At 44.9% G+C, this 24,906-nt stretch overlaps 1 protein-coding gene across 11 annotated transcripts in view, besides 2 other annotated features; it reads left to right on the forward strand.

Moving 5' to 3' along the window:
* Positions 10,021 to 10,242: a silencer, noted in NCBI's record as "fragment chr10:129702059-129702280 (GRCh37/hg19 assembly coordinates)". NCBI's record gives its function as "represses an EF-1alpha promoter that drives an FKBP-Casp9 reporter gene in an ReSE screen in phorbol 12-myristate 13-acetate-treated (for megakaryocytic differentiation) K562 erythroleukemia cells {active_cell/tissue: K562(+PMA)}" and the evidence as "EXISTENCE:reporter gene assay evidence [ECO:0000049][PMID:32094911]".
* Positions 13,173 to 13,292: a silencer, noted in NCBI's record as "silent region_2931". NCBI's record gives its function as "represses an Ori minimal core promoter by ATAC-STARR-seq in GM12878 lymphoblastoid cells {active_cell/tissue: GM12878}" and the evidence as "EXISTENCE:reporter gene assay evidence [ECO:0000049][PMID:35858748]".
* The window catches only part of PTPRE (protein tyrosine phosphatase receptor type E), a 178,753-nt gene continuing 167,175 nt past the window's right edge, over positions 13,329 to 24,906 (forward strand). For all 11 annotated transcript variants that reach the window (NM_001316676.2, NM_006504.6, XM_047425578.1 and 8 more), the window contains exon 1: positions 13,329 to 13,535. Coding sequence is in view for 8 of the 11 variants with exons in the window: in NM_001323355.2 (NP_001310284.1) it covers positions 13,483 to 13,535 (53 nt within the window). In the remaining 3 variants the exon portion in view is untranslated. The remainder of the gene's footprint in view (positions 13,536 to 24,906) is intronic.

Consider the following 24,906-nt stretch of genomic DNA (forward strand, 5'->3'; position numbering starts at 1 on the left):
GTCATTTCTGGACTTTCGAAAAACTCTCCCATTTGGCGAAAAGATCATTTCTTGAGATGATAAATAGACATTCATAGCATGTTTTCCATACCGCTTTTTACTGTATTCTTTGATTATTTAGTAATATAATATTAAGTTGGTGCAAATGTAATTGCAGTTTTTGCCATTAAAAGTTACATTTACTTTTAATGGCAAAAAAACGCAATTACTTCATCCTCTACTTTTCTTCATTAACACCTAACTTATTTGTGGAACTAGCTGATCATCTGTCTTTTCCGTTATTGTAACTAGATGACATGCTCCGGGAGGTGGACATGTTTGTTTTGTGTACCACTGGATTCCAGGGAACTCTCAAAGAGCCTGGCCCAGAGAAGACACTCAGCAAACATTTGTTCAATAAATTATTGGAGATACGTACACACATACTCTACTACTGTGGACACTTATGTTGTTTCTATCTTAAAATTATGATTAAGGAAGAACAATGCATGAACATCCTTATGCATAAACCTTTGTCCATATCTCTGATTATTTCTTTGGTTAGACTTCTAGAAGTGAGTCAAAGTCTGTGAATGTTACTGAAGCTGTTGCTACACATTGCCCAGCTGCTCATTAGAAAAAGATACCAGTCACCCACCATGCCCTTAACACAATGAAGGTGCACACTTTCCTACATCCTCAAAACATGTATATTATTGGGAAAATTTACTATTTTTTCCATTTAAGTCTATTTATTTTGACCACACTTTTAAAGGGTGGGACAGAATTTCAGTAGTTAGTTCCTTCTGGCCCTATTCCTAGTGTGGAAAATAATTTTGTATTTATTATTGTATTTTGTATTACATAGGCCTATTACAAAAATGTATTCAAATGGAACTGGCAAGAATAAAGAAGAAAGTAAATATAATAAATAATTTATCCAACAAGAAGTAATTGTGTTCACAGTTGGGCAAAGACTTTCATACCTACAGCTTTATGTCTTAGCTTCCTGCTGCTATAACTGAACACCTGAGGCTGGGTGATTTATAAAGAACAGAAATTTATTTCTTATGGCTCTAAAGGCTGAGGAGTCCAAGGTCAAGGGGCTGCATCTGGTGAGGGCCTTCATGCTAGTGAGGATTCTGAGTCCTGAGGTGGCACAGGGCGCGCATCATGGTGGCCAGATAGCAAGTGGGCTGACAGTGCTAGCTCAGGTCTCTCTTCCTATTCTTATAAAGCCACCAGTCCCACCCCGGAGAAAACCCATCGATCCATTAATCCATTAGTCCATGAAATAATTAATACATTCATGAGGGCAGGGCCCTCATAATTCCATTGCCTCGTAAAAGTGACAACTTTCCATACTGCCACACTGAAACTCACCAATATGAGTTTCAGAGGAGACAAACATCTGGTGTAGCACCATGCACACATTTATAATACAATTGAGTCCTACTCTATGTTCTATTTTATAATCTGCTTCATAAAAATTTCAACAACTTGCCATGGCAATCCTTTCATGTCAATAGATCACATTTACCATTGTATAAAGCAACCACAAATTATTTCTACAAACCCTTTTTGGTGGACATTGAGGTTGTTTCTAGCTTTTCACTGCTGTACCCGTGATGTGGTGATACTCCTTTTATGTTCGACCTTGCTAACCTTTCTAGGTATTTCCTTGAGATAAATTCTGAGAAGGAGAATTGTTGAGTCAACCAAAAATATGTGTTCACCAGCTGAAAGTGTGTCCCAATTTAAATTCCTGCCAACAGCATTTTGCATTAGAGTCCCCAATTTCCACAGCTTCCCCACAGCATAGTATTGCTACTATTTTTAATCTTTCACAAGCTGGGAGACAAGAAGTAGCTTGTTGGCATTATTTGATTTTTACATGTCAGTTAGAGTTACTATATTCTAATAAGATTATTACCCATGTGTATTTTTACTGACACAGTTTTCTGTTTATGATGTTGGCTCCTTTATTATATAGAGAGGTTTTTTATTTATGATTTTTTGTACAGTAAAGATAGTAAACCTTTGTCAGTTCTGTGTATCTTGTGGATATATATATATGTATACTGAAATATATTCATTGAATATATTTATTCATTTTGTTATTTGCATTTCAATCATATTTATACATTTATACATTTTAAACATATGTGTAGATATTTTGCTGGCTCAGGTTAAAAATGTCTATGTAACCGAATATTTCAGTCTTATACTTTATACTTTCTGGATTTGGTATCCCAACTCCAAAGTTATTAAGGCTATTTACATATAAAAACCAACTCAAGTTTGTGTGAAACAGAAAAGTGATTTTTTTTTTAAAGATACAGGATTATTTTGCATTCCCCAAGGTGAGGTGACAATGAGAACTCAGGAAATTACTAGAACTAGAATTTCTATTGCCTTCTCTGCTCCTTACTGCATATCTGTTTCATTTCCTGGGTTTTTTTCTAATATTAAATTTTATCTTTCCTGCTATTCTGTTGCTGTCTTTTATTTTGTTTTTCCTCTTCTAATTTTCTGAAATGAATATTTTATTTTCTTAATTATTTTGTTTTTGCATTAATAAAATATTTAAAACCATGAATATTTTTCTCTTCATATATATATATGTCTTTGGCTAGGTTCCATAGGTTTTTACATATGTAAATTGGCATTTAACATCTTGAAATTGCATTTTTTATTTCCTGTTTGTTGAGGACAAAGTTTGTAAGATAATTGTATGGTAGCATTATTTCTATTTCGGTTATTTGTTTCTAGTTGTCTATAATTTTAATCAAATAATGTGATCTTAAAATACATCTACTCTTAGGGTTTTATTGAGATTTTATTTGTAGACAATTTATAATCAATGTTTATAAATGTTTATAACATTTTTTGTCACTGTAGGCTATTTTGTTTAATGGATTTACCATCATTTATTTAACAATGTTTTATTTTGGCCATTTTGGATATTATGAAATTTTTTGCTTATACAAATTTGCTTAAATACAGATCATTAACTATATCCTTAAAATAAATCTCAGGAGAATTGCTGACTCAGATAGACATTTTTAGACTTATTATATTAAATATAAATTGGCCCCCAACTGGCTTGCAATTCATAATCCCACCATAAATGTATGAGAAAGCCCTTTTTTCTATAGCACTGGAAAATGTTTGTTATTTTATATGTAATATTGCTTTAAGTTACAATTCTATGGTTTGCTTTTCTGTCACTATAGTTTTGGCTTTTCTAGAATTTCATAAAAATGGTATATTATAGTAAGTAGTCTTCTGTATCTGACTTTATTTTTTAGATTCATCTAGATATAGATACACACATTTGTTTATCCACTCAGCAGCTGATGGACATTTTGGTAGACTCAAGTTACATCAATATATTATATTTGTTAAGGATAAAGCTGTCATGCATTCGAGTACAAGTATATGTGTGGATATCTGATTCCTTTTTCTTGCATAAATAAATAAGAGAGATATTACTGGAACATGGTAAGTGTATATTTAGCATTATAAGAAACTGATAGACTGATTTCTCAAGTGGCTGTTCTACTGTGCATTCCCACAAGAGATGTATTATAGTTTCAGTTGCTCCATATCCTCACCAGCACTTGCTATTATTAGTCCTTCAAAATTTGGCATTATAATGAGTGTTTACTGATATCTCGCTGTGGTTTTTATTTGCATTTTGCTAACACTAATGATGTTGGACATCTTTGTATGTGTTTCTTTGCCATTCATATGCTTTCTTTGGTGAAGCCTCTGTTTACATCTTTTGTCCATTTTCTTATTGATTTGTCTTCTTTTTGTTGAGTTGTAAGAATTATTTATATTTTATTCTCAAGATACAATATTTATTAGATATATGTTTTATATATATCATATATTTATTAGTTATATGTCTCGCAACCATTTTGTTCCAGTATATGGGTTGTTTTTTCATTTCCTTAACAGCATCATTGAAGAGCAAAATTTTTGAAATTTGGTGAAGTCTAACTTACCAATTTTTTCATTTTATGGAATATGGTCTAAATGTTATATTTAAGAAATTTTTGCCTAACCCAAGAGCACAAATATTTATTTTCCTATGTTTTGTTCTAGAAATTTTATGCTTTTAGGTCTTATATTTAAGGTTATGGTCTATTTCGAGTCAATTTTTGTATATGATATGAGGTAAGGGCTGAGGTTCATTTTTATGCATGTGGCTAGGGTGTTGTCCCAGCTTGGTTTCTTGAAAAGATTATCCCTTCCCTGATGAACTGCCTTGGCGTCTTCTTTGAAAATCAGATGATCATATCTGTGTGGGTCTCTTTCTGGATTCTCTATTAAGAGATCATTCTTTCCAGTCCTTTGTAAGCTCCAGGAATTGTTTGTCACTTGGCTTTGCCATGGCTCCCGTCCTGGTCTCCGTAGCTTCCTCTGAGGTGTGTGCCTCAGCACTCAATTAATGATTCCAGGGATCCCTCTAGATTTCTACGCTTCCCTCTGCAGCTCTCTCCTCTCCAGCACTCACCACCAATCCTAGCACTTTGGCCTCCTCAAACCTTGGTTTCTTTCTATTCAACTCCAGAAGACCATTGGCTTCTTTGGTTTCCCCTTCCACACCGTAGCCTGGAAATTTCCTCCTTGAAAACCTCCTGGCGCAATTGTCAGTCTGACTTCATTTGTTTCTTTTATCTCAGGAATCATGGCCCTGTGCTGCCTGATGTCCAAGGTCTATTATAGAAACCATTCCTTTATATATCATCTTCTGTCTTATTAATTTTATAAGACTATAGGGGGCCCTTCTTACTCCATCATAGTCCAAGGAGGTAGTCAGCCTTCACTGAATGACCACATGGCTGTCACACTTTCTTTCCCTTAGAATTTTGTAGCTACCACTTTATTGGCTTTTTGCACTGAACGTTGCTGTTGAAAAGTCTGAGGCCAGCCATATTTTTTCTCTCTGTATGTTACTGAGTTACTCTGATAGCATGGTTATAAGAGTCTGTTTGTGAAGTGCAGCCATACCCACCTAAATTTTGTTTAGATTATTCTGATTCATTTTATTCTCCTTTCATGTAATTTCTCTTTTCAATTTGCATATTCAGTTTATTACAGAAACATTTTTCTGTGTCATATTTCTAAATTATGTGTTCCACTTGTTGAAATTTTACCTGCAGACACACCAGTTATTGTTGTGTTGGGTGATCTTTGACCTTCATATCCACTATTCACCTTCTTCTAATTGCTTTATTCCCTTTATATTTTTGCTGTCTATTCACTGTGATTTTCTTCCACAATGATAACTCATTTTTAGCTAAATTTTTTTCTAACTTATGTATTAAATCTTAAGTTATATGGCTTGGAGTCTCAATTTGTTTTCTATTAACTTATCTCTGTTGTTTTATATCTCATTATTAGTCCCTTGCGTAATTGAATCTTTCTTATTATAAGTAAGTTCTTACATAGCATAATACATGCAGAAGAAACTGCTTCCGCCCATTGGATTGGATGTTTTTCCAGACTGAGGTGTGCTTACCCTTTTTTTCTTTTCTTCTGCTATGTTGGTGTAGATCCCATTGGATTGGATGTTTTTCCAGCCCGAGGTGTGTTTACACTTTCTTTTCTTCTGCTGTGTTTGGGTAGATCCCAGGGTATTTCTTTTCATCTTGCTTAGTTTAACATGAGAAGTTCTATCCAACTATTGGTTTACACGAATCCATGATTAGTGAGTTTCCCTGACATACTTCTTACCTTACCTGGGGCTAATTTATCTTAGCTTCTCCATGCGTCACTCTTTGACTGGATGGTTTTCTATCATTTTTTTTTCTAAATACATCCAGGAGGGAAAAACGTATACAGATCTTTGACAAAACATGTAAGTCAGATTAGCTTAAGCTCACAGGAGTTTGGGGTAAGGGAAACCTCTCATGTGACATGATGCAGGGCTTCCAAGAAGGTCTCCAGGACATCATTTTGCTCTTTCTCCATCTCTGGGTTGTGTTTCTCTTGGCTCTGCTCCCAAGTTCATGGACTTGGATCCTCATTCAGAACTTTTATCCTCTCAGCTTCAAGTTTATTACAAGAAAGAATCGTATGCCTCTCCCCCAGAAATCTCTCAGCATTTTACTTGCTGTAATGCTGCCACACACCCACACACCTAGAGCTGGACAGAAGCAGGGAGAGGTCTTGTTGTGTTGTAAGTAGGATTACTGCTGATTCATTCTGAGTTTAGGGAGGCAGAATTGGTGGTCTTGCTTCCATCAGCTCTTGGCTAATCAGAATCTCCATGCAGTCAAGGACCTTTTCTAATTAGGCTTGGTAATTGCACAGGGCATGGCAATGGGGACTATCTTGTCCCTCTGCTCAGAGTAAGAGGCAGCCTGAGACTCTGTCCAGGAACAGGAACTTTATAAGGGATGGGCTAGGGCAGACTGAGTCTGGGTGTACATAAGAGGAAGGTGATGTCAGAGCCTGTGGTGAAGAGGCCTCTTCAAGTTGAAAACATCTAGAACACGAAGCCCTCACAGAAAGGAGGAGAGAAAGACCAAAATCTGGAAAGCAGGTCACTACTAGAGGCTGGGAGGCGGCCCTAGCTCAGGATTTCCCATAACTCAGTCATTTCAGTTCCACTGTTGCAATTTTTGCCATCTATGACTATCACCTCTAATGTTATTTCCTTAATAATTTTCTCTAAATTAATTTTTTATAAATTAATTGACCATGACACTATCTACATTAGCTTAGCTGTAATAAAATCTTGAGCGATGTCTCACTATTTTTCTAATATACATGAAAATAAATATACAATTTATATATGAAATGAGAAGTGGCCATCCTTGTACTATCTACAATCATCTCTGACATCCCTCCACATACACCACTCCCAATAGAACCTTACTTTGGAAAACGCTGGCCTAGCTGATATGAAGAAAGAAAATGACCTTCTACGTTGCTGGAATGCACTGGGGAAACTGTTTTTTGTTTTGTTTTGTTTTGTTTTTAACTACAGTTTGAGGCCGCTGATTTCTTCTACTTTTCATGAAGCTTACTACACATCAGTGATTTTTTAAAAATTACAAATATGCCCCTTACAGCACATGAAGTTCCAGAATATATAACAGGATTTATTTTACCATTTTTAACTATGAATTCATGTACATGTATACTTTCATCATAAAACGTATGTAGTTTATATGTACTTTGGGATCATTTAAGTAGAAAAATTGCCTCAAGATGACCACACTTTTCCATTAAAGGCAATTTTTTTATATGTAAAAACCTTTCTTAACACTGCCATGCTTTAGGAAATGAAATATTTAAAAACTAAATTTCTATTGTGCTTTAGTAACCGCTAAGAAATAAATATCTGTATCTCATTTTTAGGAGAGCTTTCCTCAGTGCTGTATTATGTCTCATTACCAACTTTTTCCTCAATTCCAAGAGCAAACTGAAATTATATACCAGGTAGAAACAAGGTGATTAATAAATCATCCCACCAGTGATAATGTTCTGTGGATTATTGACATGAATTTCACTGTGAGGAATAAAGAAATTATGTCATAGGTCTTATAATTTCTCAAGTTCAAGGAAAAATATCCTTTTGCCAAAGTGTAGATATTTCTGAGAGTCCTATGATTTTTTGAGTGAGGAACACACGGGTATTCAATGCATTATGAAATCATCTGAAGCAGGCCATGGAAGGTGCTGGATTATTTTATTATTTGGCCTTCCAATGAAAACAACTCTAATTTACAGGCATCAGTTTATTTTGTAAATTGAATCAATTTTTCTTAATCATAGAAGAAGAGAAATAATAAATGACTTTTGCCACTGTGCATGGAATGGTCACCTGCCCTCATCCTTATGCATTTGACAATGTGATAACTGTTCCCAAAACAATTACACACACATACATAATGATATATTGTTCACCTGTACTCGGTGGCCAAGAAGTTAAGATTCAATCATACCCTCATATGTGTGAAATGACATATGAACAAGGCTATTCTTGTAGCATTTTGTGTTAGAAAACAACTGGGACGCGCAGTGGCTCACGTCTGCAAACCCACACTTTGGGAAGCTGAGGTGGGCATATCATTGTGAACTCAGGAGTTCGAGACTGGCCCAGGTAACATGGTCAAATGCTGTTTAAACAAAAAATACAAAAAAAAAAAATTAGCCAGGCATGACGGTTTATGCCTGTAGTACCAGTTACTCCAGAGGCTGAGGCTGGAGAATCTCTTGAGTCTGGGAAGCAGAGGTTGCAGTGAACCGAGATCGTGCCATGGCACTCCAGCCTGGGCAATACAGTGAAACCCTGTTTCAAAAAAAAAGAAAAACGAAGAAAAAAGAAAAGCAAACAACTGGGAATAATTAAGTGGCCTAGAAGTGCTATTTTAAATATATCCAAAGATTTAAAAGAAAACATGAATATAATAAATAACCATATGAGGACCTCATTAGAGAAATAAAAATTATTTTTAAAATAACCAAATGAAAAGTCTATTACCTAAAAATACATAACAGAAATAAAAAAGAAATCACTGGATGGACTTAACAGAAGATTAAGCATTGCAGAAGAAAAGATTGGTCAATTTTAAAACTTGGCAATAGAAACCATCTAAACTAAAACACCTACAAGAAAAAAGGCTTAAAAATGTTAAAAGCCTCAGTAACCTTGTGAGACAATATTTGGAGATACCACATGCATCCATTGGAGTCCAAGAAGGACAGGAAGGGGAAAATATTTTTAACGAAATAATGGCTGAAAATTTCCCAAATTTGATGAAAACTACAAATTTATAAAATAAGAAACTCAAGTAATCCCAAGAAAATAGACACAAGGAAAACCATATCAATGGCAGGTGCAGTGGTTTATGTCTATAATCTCAGCACTTTGGGAGGCCAAGGTGGGAGGATAGCTTGAGCCTGGGGATTCAGGATCAGCCTGGGCAATTTTGTCTCTACAGAAAAAAAACATTAAAAATTAGCTGGTCATGGTGGTGCATGCCTGTAGTCCCAGCTACTCAGGAGGCTGAGGCAGGAGGACTTCTTGAGCCCAGGAATTCAAGATTGCAGTGACCTATGATCACACCACTGCACTCTAGCCCGGGTAACAGTAAAAGACCCCACCTCAATGAATAAATACATAAAATAAAATAAAACAACACCGAGACACATTTTAATCAAATTTCTTGAAAACAGTGATAAGGAGAAGATTTTAAAATCAACTAGAGGAAAAGGGTACATCACCAAAACTACTGATAATAAGCAATAAAGGATGAATCTCAAAAAGAGTTTGCTGCCTAAAATAAATTAGAAATGAGATACTATGTGATTCCATTTATATGAAGATACAGAGCAGGTAACACTACCTATGGTGATAGATTTCAGAATAATGGCCATCTTTGGCAAGAGTGGGGAGATTCTATTGGGGGAAGAGACATCAAATAACTTTCTACAATGATGGAAATGTTTACTGCCTTGAGATGGGTATGCATTTCACTAGTTTATACACTTGTCTTTACTCATTGGCGTATCCCTTAAGATCTGTAGAATGCGTGTGTACTCTTCATCAGTGAAAAGCAATCCAAGAAAAAAACGAAGAGTTCAAATGTGGTAAGGATCTGGGGGAGGGCCTAATTATTGTTTTTTCTGGGTGAGTAGAGGAATCTTCCAGCAAAAAGATCTGTCCTCTTGATTTCAGTAATTGTTAACACTTGGGCATAACTTGGAAAAAGAGGAGGAGAGGGAAGAATAGTTGGGTAATGTAAAAATAGATAGTTCTGAACCTATTTGTTATTCAATCTAGTACATCCTTGAGATCAGAATAACCATCCTGACTGTGGTTACTAAAAGTTACCTCTTGGTGGGAACAGGGCCTGAACAAAATCATTGAAGGACTCTGGTGTTGTCTCAGTGTATTAGTCCGTTCAGACATACCTGAGACTGGGTAATTTACAAAGGAAAGAGGTTTAATGGACTCACAGTTCCATATGGCTGGGAAGGCCTCACAATCATGGAAGAAGACAAAGGAGGAGCAAAGACACATCTTACACGGCGGCAGGCAAGAGAGCATGTTCCCTTTATAAAGAGAACTGCCCTTTATAAAACCATCGGATCTGGTGAGATTTATTCACTATCATGAGAACAGTATGGGAAAAACCTGCCCCCGTGATTCAATTGCCTCCCACAGGGTCCCTCCCACAACACATGAGGACTACGGGAACTACAATTCAAGATAAGACTTGGGTGGGGATGCTGCCAAACCATATCACTCAGTTTTTCCTTCCTTGCCCTGCCCCACAGCCAATCAATGATCAAGACCTGCTTTTTTCCTCCTAAGGTTGAATAACTTTATGAGAATGTTTCTGTATGATGTTTAAAAGCAACTTCTTATTTGCTTTCCACACATTGATTTTGCCTTTTTTTTTTTTTTTTTTTTTTTGCTTATTCTCCTAGACAGTATTCCTGGCCTCAGCATTTTAATTTTAATTGACATCTATTGGGCCCTCTAAGCATGATGGGCAGTATCTCAGTTTCTGCAGAGAAACCCAAAAGCCCAGTCCTCAAGTAAAATAGAAGACAAGACAAGTAAGTGCAGTTAATATCAATAATCGCAGGAGCACTGCCTCAAGCTGTGTTTTAGAGGGAAGGGGCTAAATGGTTGGGTGTAGGGGAGGCCTGGGGAGAGCGGGCAGGAGGCCAGCCACGGACAGGCCTGAGACAGGATCAGACAGCCAGTGTGCCAGGGAGCTGAAGAGGACTCTGTGGACTCAAGAAGGGCCCTAAAAGAGGAGTGGTGAGGTGTTCAGGAGGGCAAGAGGCAGAGGAGCTCCTCAAAGCCTGGGAGGAGGATAGGGGAATTGACTCTGATGTCAATAGGGACCTTGAGCCTATGAGAGGCAAAAATGAAGATGGTGAAGAAGGATGAAGGGCTTCCCTGTGGTAATCAACAGGGCCCTGGCACAAACACTTCTGACAACACGCTTCTGTGTGACAATGATGAATGTCTGTAGACTTTAGAAAGGGTTGAGAATTTTTGGGGTCCAGCAGAGAAGATATTATGAGGAAAGAAGAGCCATCTGCCTCCCCATCATGTTACCAAGGCTGTTCACTTTCCAATAGCAGATGTCTGACAAAGGCAAGTTGTTTCTGTCTTCTTAGCTCACAGTCTCTGCCTCCTCAGCCCTGCAGCGTTAACAAGCAAAACTGTGCTTAGCAGAGCTTTGTAATTATGGCCTTCATGTACATAAGCCTGACTCTGTAGACCACAACAGCAGAAAAATCCAAAGCCTGGTGACGTCATGTGCTACCTGGCCCCACCTCAACCTGGGCTGTTCCTTGGAGGTGCACTCAGGAGGGAGCCACCCGCCCTGCTGGGCTCCGAGGTGACCAGGCTGTCTGCTGCTGCTGGCTGGGGCCCATCCTCCTCTGCTCTGACAGCCCAGACGCCTTCACTGAGCACCTCCTGGCTACTGACGTTGCTTTAGGAGCTTGAGTCTGAGAAGCCATGGAGATCAACAGAGCCTAGGCTGCTGGAGCTTACAGCCCTGGGGGTAGGGGAAGAGGGCACGACAGACACAAAAGGAGCCAATAAACCCACAAATAATTCCAAACTGTGATGGAGGATGTGGAAGAGAGTGGCAGAAGAGATGGATGCAGGGCGATCTTCCAGAAGCCACCAGTAAGAAGGAACCAGGTGCACTGGTTGGAGGAGTCCCAGGCAGGAAGGAGCTTGGCTCTGGCACTGAGAGAAAGGAGCCGTGATTGGAGCCCAGCGGGCAGGGGTGAGAGGCTCAGAGCAGCCAGGGAAGTCAGGCAGAGCCTCGTGGGAGTTTGGGTTTTAATATTCCTGGAGGCTTTTAAGCAGGGGGCTAGCAGGACCCGGTTTACACTTTGTGAGGTGCCTGGGACCAAGTGTGAAGAATGGATCATCTGGGAGAGTGGGTCAGAAGCTGGGGAGCCACTGCAGGTTTTGGAGGGGCGCAGGCAGTGAGATGAAAGGGCAAGATGCATGGAGAAGCCAGTGGGAAGTGGACTTGGGCCCTCTGGGAGGTGGACTTGAGGTGGGACACGGAGGCAGGGACAGGGACGACTGCAGAGAAACTAAGTAAGAGCAAGAGGCAGGTCTGAGACAGCAGGAGACAGCCAGGAGGAGCTGAGCTTGGAGGAGAGGGCCCCAGAGTGGTGCTGCTTAGAGTCATTCCCATACGGATGGTGTTTAAAGCTTTGGGGCTAGACAAGGCCCCCAGGGACAGAAATGGGCAGGGCAGGGCAGGGAGGTGGAGCTCAAGTTCTCCACTGGTTTCGCAGCTCTCCGGCCCCTGTGGAGGGGAAGTCCCACTCTGGGCAAATCACGTGGGGGTGGCCTCTGCCAGGAGGCACCCATTGCTCTGCAGCCTTTGGGGTCCGTAGCTCTGTCTAAACAGGCCTTAAGTATGCTAAGAGTCGTCGGCTGGCAATCGGTGCAACGTGGGGTAACACACCGTAAGTGCCACTTTCTCCCCATCCATTCATTCATTCATAAGCCTAATGAGCTGGGTCCCTACCACAGAATGCAGCTTCCCTCATGAGGGCTGGGCCGTGGCCCCATCCAGAGGGCACGGCACAAAGGTTCAGAACCAACATGCCACCAGTGTCTTTTCTGCTCCTTCCAGGGAACTGCCTTTTCTCTGAAAGCTCCCTAAATAGCTTGAGTGAAATTCCCTGGAAGAAGTCGGCTAGACAGCAGGCCCAGTGCCTGGCTCTGTCGCTCTTCTTTCTCTTTGTGCGTTTTTAACTTTGACAGATACTGCCTTCGGGACAAGCGAGCCCTCTTCTACATCCCCCAGACAGGCGCCTTATCCCCTCCTCTTTCCAGAGGAGGCCACCAGGCCCAGCGACCTCACAGCTCTCCCAGCTTCCTCGCACCAGAAGCGCACGGGGTGCCCTGCGTGTCCCACACCTGCTGCAAGACCAGGGCGAGTCCCTAGTCAGGCCACTTCCTGGTGCACAGGGATAGGGCAGGGAGAGGCAGGGCCTTGCCTTTGCTCTCCACCAGGTGTGAGTGCCTGCCATACCCTGACCCTCTGTCTACGCACCTGGGTCCCGGCGGAGTGGCTGGACCAGGCCTCCCCGGAAGGGGCACCAGCCTTGAGTAAACGGATGCCCACAGTGTCTGGGTGCTCCCAGGGCAGGGCCGCAGGGCCTCAGGGCCATACCCGCCTCGCAGGTGGGGCGGGCGCCCTGGATGCGCTCCCCGCGCCGGGCACCAGGCGTCGCCCCCGCTCCTCGCAGCGCCCAGGCCCCCGCCCCCGCCGCGGAGCCACAGCCGGAGCTGGAGCCGAGGCGGCGGCGGGACGCGGCCGGCCGGACAAATTTCCTGCTAGGCTGCGGACAGCGGGCGGCAGGAGCCGGCGCGAGCGGCTTCAGGAACCCACGGCCTCTGCGCGTCCCCGCGACCCTTCTTCGCGCCCGGCGAAGACAGCCGGGCGCCCCGGAGGGCGGCGGGCAGGCGCCCGGGAGATGCGGAGCCTCCGCTGCAGCGCGATCTGCGCGACCAGACCGGCCCCCCCGAGGTGAGCGCGCGTGCGGACAGGGACCCTGCGCCCCTGTGGGGAACTGTGCACCCCGGGAGGCCCAAGCAGGCCGGGGCGCTGCCTCGGCCGCTGCCGCGGGAGGGAGGGGCCGCTCCGGGGCTCAGAGTCCGGACCCCGGCCCCGCCGCCCCCGCGGCGCGCCCAGTACCAGCGGCTGGGGCCCGTACGACCCCCGACCCCGGCCTGTGGCGCGTCCCCTCACCCGGAGTCCCCAGCCCAACTTGGCGACCACAGTGGCAGTGCTCACGCTCCCTCTCGGTAAACAGGAGGAGGGCGCGCGTGTCTGCGGGTGGCTACAGTGCGCGGGGGCCGGCGGCAGGGCGGCGTACGTGAAAGCGGGCGACACAGAGAGGGGGTGCAGGCCGCGCGTGGGGGGCTGCGCCCACTCGAGGCTGGAGGCTGGAGCCTTTGAAGAAAGTGGCTCGAGTTGTGCCAACTCTGGGAGGGGCCGGCGCTCTGCCAGGATGCTGCCCCGCAGCCGGGCGGGCGCCCGCGCCTTCCCAGGGAGGCAGGTGGAGCGGGATGCAGCAGCCGCCGGGGGTCGGAGATGCGGCAGGGAGACCCTGGCAGGTGGTCCAGGCTGGACTGCCGCGATTTGCAGGGTCGACGACCTCACAGGGCTCCTGAGCACAGATGCGAGCGCGGTGCCAATTCTGAGAGCTCCCGGGACCATCTGGGGAAGGCCGGGCAACCCACAGGATGGGGAGGCAGAGCCAAGCCGGATGGAGACCGCGCTGGACCTGACCTAAATTCCTTCCAGGCATGCAAACCTTTCCAGAAAGATTAGGCAATTATACTTGCAGAATTATGATATTGGTTTGTCTTGAGTCGTGACCATTCCATCAGAGTTTCAATCCAGGAAACTCAAAGAAAGAATACAGCTCTCTGCTTGTATTTTAGAGTGAATGAGCGTATAGGTGAGTTGAATGAACACCAGCAAAGAGTGATCACGTGATACAGAAATTACTGTGTCCATGTCCAGTCAGCTCTGCATTTGGCCCCAGGTACCCCTTGACCCAGGGCGTCTGGAGGTCTTTGTGTCCCAAAGATGGATGAAGTTCTGCCTCTGCACACTAACGACTCTTGTCCATTTAAACTGTGTGTATGTGGGTGGGGAGGGGGGGTGTGGAGGGTCGTTTCCAAAACTGGGATAATGGCCAGAGGAGGGCATGAAATGGTGGGGGCCAGTGGCTGGGGCAAGCGTCTGACCACCACGGTCACTCAGCCAGCATGGTATGGGCAGAGCTCTGTGGTGTGAACAGGGTTAGGGTCTGTACTTTCCAAGCACAGGCTCTTGGCATTTGGGGAGCAAAAGGTCAGAGGCGAGGTGGAGCAGGCCCAAGAGGTGGGGGCTGCGCTGTCAGTGAGAGAGGCCTGACGTACCACCCAGCCCTTCCCAGACAAGGCTCTGCCCCTGAATCTGACCTTGGGGGCCAAGATTTTTGTTCATTGATGTTGGTGATGCCTGTGAGTCACCACCGCCCCCTCCCTGCCCCAACAGACCGTTCCCATGTGGACAAGAGCTAGGAGCTAGATTTGTCTCTGTAAAAGGTCAGGTCACTGGATGTGTCCAGATGGCTTGGGACTTAGTCACACACTCCCTCATCAGTTCCAGTCAAACCAGTTGAGGGAAGTCGATGAGGGTGTTATTGTCTTTACGTGTGATGCTTCTTGGAGGCCCTGTGTGGACACAAAGTGAGGACAATGCGGAAAGTCACACAGAGGCCACCTCTCATTTCTGTGGGGGACAGCTGGCAGAGAGAGATGCGCTCCCTGTGTCAGCACCGCCACCTCCACGGAAGCCTGGAGGAGGTCCTGAAGCACTGTGCCCTGATGGGAGCCCCCTCTTCTCCAGGGATGCGTGTGTGCAAACCATTGCCCCTGAGAGTAGATGCGGCTGTGTGTGTACATCCTTGCCCCTGAGAAGAGAGGTGGCTGTGTGTGCAAATCTTGCCCCCAAACCCCAAGAGAAGATGCATTCACAGTGGGGGTGATGGTAGATGCATCAGTTTCAACTGGTGAAAGTATGCTTCTCCCAGCTGTGCCTCAGTGGGTCCACTGTGCTCCATCTGCACCACCATTAGCCTAGTCTAAGGTGCACCGCTGATCAATATTCCCTCCCTGAAGGCCAGAGGTGTGTTTCTAGGCCCGGCCACTCCTCTGTAGTTCTCCTCCGCAGCTGCCCACTTGACATTTCTCCCTGGGATATCAAATGCCCCTTGACTCAATGCGTCAAAATCAAACTTGTGATCTCCCCTCCCCTTCCAGTACTTTCCCAGTGTTGTCTTTATCCATCCAATTCCACCAGCCTCCATGTTGCTTCTGAAATGTATGCCAGACTATAGTTTCTGTGAAGAGAGGGCAATACTGTATCTCCAGTGCCCAGCCATGTGCCTACCAGTGGAGCCTTGAGGACTACTGTCCATGGATAAACAACTTGGAAGTGAGACCTTCCCGAAGCGCATGTGCTGATGGAGCAAGTGTGTGTCTGTTGCGTGGATGTTGTATGGTTGATAGGCAGCCACACATTTTTGCCGATGTGGATGGGCATGGTCCATCCAGGGCTCATGTGGCCAGCCCTTCTGGAGATGCTGGACTCACCTGCTAAAATGACTGCTGGCTTGGACCAGAGACACCCCAAGTGACCTCCCAGGGAGGCAGGCTTGGGAGCAGGGAGGGAACAGGATCGAAGCTGCCCCGTATTCCCTTGCTAGACAAGTCTTTTTCATTTATAACATTTGAGTCACCCTCACAGAAGTTCTGTTGCCAAAGCAGGAATGAATGTATCCATTAGGGTAAAGACTGGCCTTCTTAATATTTGAATATCACTTGGGAAGAAAACTACAGTTCTAAGAACATCTCTAGTTTTTCTTTTGGCTTTCTTCCTACTGACCCAATGGCTTTGTCTTCCATAAAGCTCCCAAAGCTTTCCAGATCCCAAGACTCAGCTCCCTGCTCTCAGCCTCCTTCCCCTTTATTTCCATCTTAGAAACTCCTACCCATACCTCAAGGCCCACCTCAAAAGTCTCAGTCTCCACAAAGCCTTCCTGGCTCCCCTACCTGAGAGGAATCTCTCTTACTCTTGGTTCCATAGAACGTTATTTCTGCCTGTCCTAAAGCACTTACTGGACTTGACTTTGATTTCCAGTTCACTTGCTCAAGTAGTTTATCTCCTCCACTAGGCAGCCAGTGCTTTAAGGGTGGAGGGTGTGTCTCTGAGAGCATGTACTTTGGGTTCAGTCAGTCAAGTTCTGACTCTGGTGTGACCTTGGCTAAATGACTCAAAATGCAGGCTTCAGTGTTCTCTAGAATGGGAGTAATCATCGCTACTTCCCAGGGCTGCTGCTGTGAGGGGGACATAGGATACATATAATTGACAGGCCGCTTGGCTGGTATGCAGTAAACTGTGGTTATCTTTCCCCTACAACATCTAATGCTGTGCATTGCACATGTAAGAATCAGTGAAGTTTGAGGCCGGGTGCAATGGTTCACACCTGTAATCCCAGCACTTTGGGAGGCTGAAGCACGCAGATCACTTGAGGCCAGGAATTCCAGACCGGCATAGGCAACATGATGGAACTCTGTACCAAAAACACAAAAAAATTAGATGGGCATGGTGGTGCACACCTGTAGTCCCAGCTACTCAGGAGGCTGAGGTGAGAGAAACATCTGAGCCTGGGAGGTCAGGGCTGCAGTGAGCCATGTTCACACAACTGCACTCCAGCCTGGTTGACAGAGAAAGACCCTGTCATGGAAAAAAAAAGAATCAATGAAGTTTGAATGAATACATGAACCAAGCCAAAAACCATACAAATAGATAGATACCTTTTGTGCATCATCCAGATCAGTAGGTCAAATCAGTGTGGTGTGGCATGCCAGATAATTTTTGCATGGCAATCTAAATGATTATTATGTAAATTTTGCGTGATTAAGTATTTTAATCCCATAATGTTATCACTTACCATGAAGGCATTCATTCTTCAATATGCACCATTGACTCCAGTGATCGATGAGGCAGAAATGCAACTTGCTGTGCACATTAACCAGGCTCGTGGCCTGAATTAAACCAGGCTGGGTGTGAGGCACTGCAAAAGCAAACGAAACCCACCCCTGAGAAGCAGTGTGGCCTAGAATCAGGTGTCTGGAATCAGGGTAAGAGAGCAGCTTCTAGACCAGAACATAAAGCTAGGAAGCTGTGGCCTACCCTAGAAACTCTCAGAACTTCACTTTGCTTATCCAAAGAAAGGGGCTGTCCTGGGCCATCTCTGGGCCCCTCACAGCTGCTGCACTTCCGCCCGATTTCACCCCTTCCCCACCACTGGGCAGGAAGGGCTGCTGACTCCGTACAAGGCTGGATCCCAGGCAGGGAGGCCTCCTGTTTCTTGGCTCAGCATTTGGGCCACGTGTCTCTCTGCTCTGGACACCAAATCTAGAGAGAGTGAGGAGAGGCCCGTGGGTACATGTAGCGTGCTGCCAATTTTAGGTACTGGCCCTAGACATATCAAGAGTTTATTTTGGAGGATTAACTTCTCATTATTTTGTCACTAGGATTTTTTTTTTTCACCAAAAGCAGAGTGCTGGATGATATTTTAGATGGCTGGGATTTTAGATCAGCCATACCTGAGGCAATAAGAGTTGGTCGAATGTTACCAATCCTTGAGCAGACACAGATGAGCAGTTGCGGGGTCGTTCGCTGCTGGATGTGGGCTAGGAGACCCCTGGTTTGGGGATTATGAAGGCAGCCTCCTTTTCTTCCCTGGGCTCTGGCTGCTGTTTTCCCAGTCATACCCATCATGGTCTGCCCTGTCCAGGTGTTCCATGTGGGGAGTATTGATGTGGTGCCCAGCCTTTGAACTGTTAACAACACCCTGCTCACAGCCAGAAATGTGGGCCCCACATCTTTCTTTCAACTGTATGAATACTTCAGAGGCTTTGATTGAGCTTAAGAAATACAAATTCTTAACAATATATTTCAGAAAAATAAACATATCCTTTTATATTGATTCCCAATGAAATAGGGGCCAGATAAAATATTTTAAAAGGGCATCTGTTTTTAAAAATATCTTTCAAATGCAATCAAGAATGTTCAGTTAATCCGGTCCATTATGTATATTGTAACAAGTAACAAAAGGGGCAGAGAAATCTTTCTCCCAAAAACAAATATAAAGTCCAGCAGGGAGTAGGGAAATGTTTGAAGAAAAAAAAAAGATTCTTAGTTATGTGCTAAAAACCAAACGTGTTTTGGGCAGGTGCTTTGATGTTAGTGTTTGTTGGGTGGAGAGTAAAGAATTGATAGGAAAACTTGTTTGGATCCCAGGTCTGGGTGCCAGCTACACTACATTTGATCCAATGGAAGGGCTAGCATGGGAACAATAGCATTTGGTGTGAGCGCCCTGGGCAGGTACATGACTCTGTCGTCAGCTCCCAGGGATGGACAGCCAGTCCCACAATGCCTGGAGCTCAGAGCTCACTCTGTGCATGTATGTGACATGGAGAGATGGATGGATGAAGGTAATAGAACTGAGTAGGAGCCTGTCCAGGTAGCAGTGGAGGAGGCCAAGTGGCGGAGGCCTTCCCTGCCATGATTTTACTCTGTCTGAATACCAGCAGCAAGTGGAAGCCACGGGGCTTTATTTTCAAGGGAGGTGACACAGCCTGGGGCTCAGGGAAAGGACTTAGGAGCAGAATGACTGGGATCAGATGGGGGCCCATGAGACTGAGGCTCTGGACAAGGCAAGGGACTTCCCCTGGCCCAGTGTGAGCCCAAGTCTTTACGGTGGGGAGCATGATGCCGCCAAGGCAGCTGCACGGGGATCGGTGGAGGTGGTACGCAGAGGCCTGGCCCCATGATCACCAAAGGGCCAGCGGTCTCACACAAGGCAAGGGCCCAGGGGACCGGAATCAAAGGCCTGAGATGATGTGAGCCCTGACTTCTCCTCTGCCACAGTCGCTTTGTCCTCAAGGCAAGTCATTTAATTCCTATTCAATAAATGCACAAACATAATTTTTGGTTATTAATGTCCCTAAATCTGTTTGGACATTTCCAGCTGAACATTAGTCACCAGTTTTGTACTAGAGAGAAAATTAGTTCCATCTTTCTTCTCAACTGAGATTTTTAAATGTCCTATCACATAGCTACTTGATTACAGTGTATTATTTTAAATGACCTCTGTACTAAGTCCTTTTATTTTGGCGTCCTCTCACTCCAGAAGGACTTGGCATTGGCATTTTTCAGGCTGTGTCTCCACAGTAGGACTTTCATAGGTCTGCGGTGCAGACTGGTTTGCTGTCCACAGGCTTGGCCCTGACTCCTCGGCTAACATGCACAAGGGCGCTCTGAGGGTCGGGAACGCACCCACCAAGCACAGCCCAGACGAAATGGAAGCTCCTGTCCAGGCAGGTTCCCGGTGAAACTCTAGGGAGCTCCAGCCTTCCTTTCTTCTCCAGTTTATTAAGAGGCTGGCCTCAGAGGTGGACACCTACTTCCACAATTTGATGTCCGACCCTGGGACTCTCCTCTTTACCCTGCCCCCACCTCATCCACCAGCCTTTTGGTCTGAAATCCTTGTCATGGGGTAAAGCTTTTTATTCTGTTGTTGGAAACACAGTATATGGTTTGGCTGTGTGTCCCCTCCAAATCTCATGTTGAAATGTGGTCCCCAGCGTTGGAGGTAGGGCCTGGTAGGAGGTATTGGATCATGGGGGCAGGTACCTCATGATTACTAGCGCCATCCCTTTAGTGATGAGTGAGTTCTTGCTCAGCTAGTTCACATGATATCTGGTCATTTTAAAGAATGTGGCACCCCCCACCCACTCTCTCTCTTGTTCCCACTCTCACTGTGTGGCATGCTGGCTCCCTCCCTCTGCCTTGATTGGAAGCTTCCTGAGCCTCACCTGAAGCAGGTGCCAGCATTATGCTTTGTGCACAGCCTGCAGAACCATCAGCCAATTAAACCTCATTTCCTTATAAATTACCCAGCGTCAGGTATTCCTTTATTGCAATGCAAGAACAGACTGACACACACAGCACAGGTGGAAATACAGGCTTTGCGGACACCGGTGGCCTGTTTTTCTGACACTATCATACTTCCCAGGATAGGCTCTACTCTTAACTCTTCTAACCCCATCCACTTGTTATAAAACACACTTTCAGAAAAAGGCTAGGTTGTTACTGAGGTAACATGGGATGGATCTTTGGAGGTGGGAAGGCCTCCAGCCTCCTCTGGGGAAGACAAAGTAAATCCTCCCTATGGAATTCTCCAGCTTGTTTTCTTGATTCCAGAGAGACCTGCTAGTGAATTCAACTAACAGGTTGGTTTTCAGCACAGAATATTTCCTACAGATGTCGGTGTTTCTTTCCAAATCCTTCCTCTCTTCAGGGCGCTTTCCCACTGTTCTAGACGTAGGAGAGAAAGCACTTCTCAGATGGTGAGCTTTTATCTTCCAATCTTGTCAACCGAGGAGACCTGGAAGTTCCCTTTCAACCTGGAATGTGAGCCCTGCTTGCTGGGCACGAGATAAGGACCAAGGATTGACCCAGGACAATTTCAGAGAGCACAGGGGTGGCATATCCTCATGTCAGGGCGTGGAGCTAATATTCAGACCCAAACACTCTGAATCTCTGAAGCAGAAGCTCTCTTAAAATTCCTGGGGAGGAAATCAGTATGAATTAATAAAAAGCCTGAATATTGTGGATTTTTATTAAATTCGAGGATTTATAGTAACTCAATCCAGGCCAACAAAACGTTGCCTTCCGGTACTTACTTTAATGAATAGAAAGCATGTAAATGCTCTTCCAAAGAGAATAACACATTTTAGCATCTTAAATATGTAAAAATAAAACTCCTGTACAATCCTAGTTGCACTAGGAAGTCTACTTATCAAAAAAAGAAACTTCTGTTTCCAGCCACATTATTTCAAATCATCCCAAAACTTACATTGTTACTAGTAAAATTTTTCATTGTGATTAACACTTTTTTTCCAGTATGGTTTTCCTCTTTCTGAAAGCAACCTTAGTTTCATAAACAGTTGGACATTTAAGTACTGGTCAAAAAAGTACTCTGAACCAGTAACCTCGTCCTTAATTTTGAACTGCTGTTGACTAAGCGCTCTCTTTTCCTAAGCTCATAGCAGCCCTTCGTTCAGTGCTTCAGTAATTCAATAAATTACTTTTTGCCAAGGTTGCAAACATCAGCTAAAGTTCAGTCATCTACTGGAGATGTTATCAGTCTGTCCATTTAAATTCTTTTGCGCAAAGTCCAGATTTGGACCCAAAGTAATATAAAAATGCAAGAGCCAGAAATTTAATAATTTTGTACTGTGTTGTGCCAAGCCAGGCCTATTCTTAGCTAGCCAACAACATTCTTTCAAAGGATATTTTTTGGTTTTCATCAAATGTAAATAGTGTTTAAGAGTCTGTAATATCATTTAGAAGGAACAAATGGAAGTATTAAACCTTTATTGACTACCTACAGTATATAGAGGATCTATAACTTATGATGGTTTTATTATAGTTTCTCAACCTTACAATGGGTTTATTGGGCATTGGGTACATTTTAAACTTATGATATATTCTATTTACAAGGGGTTCATCAGGATATGACCTCACTGTAAGCCCAGGAGCATCCGTACGTACAAGCACTGTGCTTAGCGCTGGAGTTACAGGGAAAAAAAAAAAAAAAGGCACGATGGCTTGTGACATCCTGTGGATGCTCCAGGTCCACAGGAAGACAGAACTCACTTCCAGGGAGTGTTAAATGTGATGCTGGATGCTCCTGTGGAGGAGGGGAGACATGGAAGGGCCTCCCCAGGTAGAGCAGTGACGTGGTCTGGCTCTGTGTCCCCACCCAAATCTCATCTTGAATTGTAATCCAAATAGTAATCCCCACATGTTGGGGGAGGGACCTTGTAGGAGGTGATTAGATCATGAGGGTGGTTTCCCCCATGCTGTTCTCATGATAGTGAGTGAGTTCTCATGAGATCTGATGGTTTTATAAGGGGCTCTTCCCCCTTCACTTCACTGTGCACTTCACTGTGCACTTCTCCTTCCTGTCGCCTTGTGAAGAAGGTGCCTTGCTTCCCCTTCCACCATGATTGTCAGTTTCCTGAGGCCTCCCCAGCCATGCTGAACTGTGAGTCAATTAAACCTCTTTCCTTTATAAATTACCCAGTCTTAGGCAGTTCTTTATAGCAGTATGAAAACAGACTAATACAAGCAGGCTTGGTTTACTGGGCCATTTCCTAGGCAGCTGACAGGGATTGAGCATTCCAGACAGAGGGGCTACCATGTGCTTGCCTGGCAGTAGGAAGCGGTGTGTCCTGTCTGGGGAAGAGCAGGTGTCTGCATGGAGCTGGAGCCCAGGGACAGAGGGGATGGGACAAAAAGGTGGAAAGTTTAAGGATCACCCAAACATTTGTACACCATCCAGGAGTCTGGATTCTGTGTGACGGACCAGCAGTTCTTACCGTGTCTTAAATTATGACCCCCTTTGTGATTCTAGGGAAGACTATGGACTCATTCTCCAGAAAAACGCATGTGTGCACACAGTCATTTGTATAGTTTCAGCAAGTCTTTCCTAACACCCCTCCCCCCATCCTGAGGCTCACAGGTTCCAGGTGTGTCCCCTTTGTGCGGCCTGGCCAGCCCCACAGAGCCCAGCAGCATGCTCAGCTGTGAGTTTGAGAAGGGGTCCCCTGCTGGCTGTGTGTGGAAAGCCAGAATGGAGGTGACGGGGGAAACCGACTCAGCAGGTTGGATTTATAGGCAACATGACCATGTGGGTGAGAGGATGAGAGTGAGAACCAAGGCCCCGCAGTTTTCGGCCAGGGTGACTGGATGCATCCGGACCAGACACAGGCTTACGAGATGATGGTGCGCCCAGGGTGTGAGCTGAGTTTGAGGGTGCCAGAGGGGGAAGCCGCTCCAACATGTGGAATCCAAGCAGCTGATTCCAGCAGGGAGGGTCTGTCCAAAGGGAAGCGAAGAGAGTTTTTCAGCATGAAACTGATGGTGCCAATGTTTGTGCTTCACTGCGCTAAACTGTCATCTTTCTGTTAAATTTGGCTTACAGGGCCAGGTGCAGTGGCTCATGCCTGTAATCCCAACACTTTGGGAAGCTGAGGTTGGAGGATTGCTTGAGGCTAGGAGTTTGAGACCAGTCTGGGCGACATAGTGATACTGTCTCTAAAAAATATTAGCCAGGCATGATGGTGCATGCCTGTAGTCCCAGTTGCTCCGGGGGCTAAGGCAGGAGGATCACTTGAGCCCAGGAGGTCGAGGCTGCCATGATCATGCCACTGTACTCCAGCCTTGGTGACAGAGCGAGAACCTGTCTCAAAAAAATTTTTTTTATTTTGAAAATTGGGTTACACTGTACATTCTTAGGGTCTAGACAATATTCCTAATAAAATGCCATGTAGGCTGGGCACGGTGGCTCACACCTGTAATCCCAGCATTTTGTGAGGCCAAGGTAGGTGGATCACATGAGGTCAGGAGTTCACAACTAGCCGGGCCAACATAGTGAAACCCCATCTCTACTAAAAATACAAAAATTAGCTGAGCACGCTGGCACGCACCTGTAATCCCAGCTACTTGGGAGGCTGAGACAGGAGAATCGCTTGAACCCATGACACAGAGGTTGCAGTGAGCTGAGATCACACCACTGCACTCAGCCTGGGTGACAGAGTGAGACACCATCTCAAAAAAAAAGCCATATAATGATGGTTGTTGTCATCAGAGAAGTCGGCTCACAGGGGGTGATGTCTCCTGCTCCCACTTACAAAGTAGGTGAGAATGATCTCGAGAAGCTCCATGAGGTGACCCTCAGCCTCTGATGGGGACAAACAGGAGTCACCCTGCTCTCTCTCTGGCTCCCATGACTCTTATCTAAAGACCTCAGGCTGGCTTGGAGCACCCCCTTTAAACTTCCTTTAAAAAAGGAGAAAATCGGCCTGGTGCAGTGGCTCACGCCTGTAATACCATCACTTTTGGAGGCCGAGGTGGCCAGATCAGGAGGTCAGGAGATCAAGACCATCCTGGCTAACACGGTGAAACCCCATCTCTACTAAAAACACACAAAAAATAGCCCAGCATGGTGGTGGGCGCCTGTAGTCCCAGCTACTCAGGAAGCTGAGGCAGGAGAATGGCATGAACCCGGGAGGCGGAGCTTGCAGTGAGCCGAGATCACGCCACTGCACTCCAGCCTGGGCGACAGAGCGAGACTCCATCTCAAAAAAAAAAAAAAAAGAGAGAAAATCTATATGGAAGAAATGAAAATTATTGAAGGAGCTTGGGGAAAAGGCTGAAAGAATCTTGGCTGTTCATGCAAACCAAGTCCCAGGGCTGGCTTCAT

The sequence above is a fragment of the Homo sapiens genome, chromosome 10 (assembly GCF_000001405.40).
Source record: "Homo sapiens chromosome 10, GRCh38.p14 Primary Assembly".
NCBI lineage: Eukaryota > Metazoa > Chordata > Mammalia > Primates > Hominidae > Homo > Homo sapiens.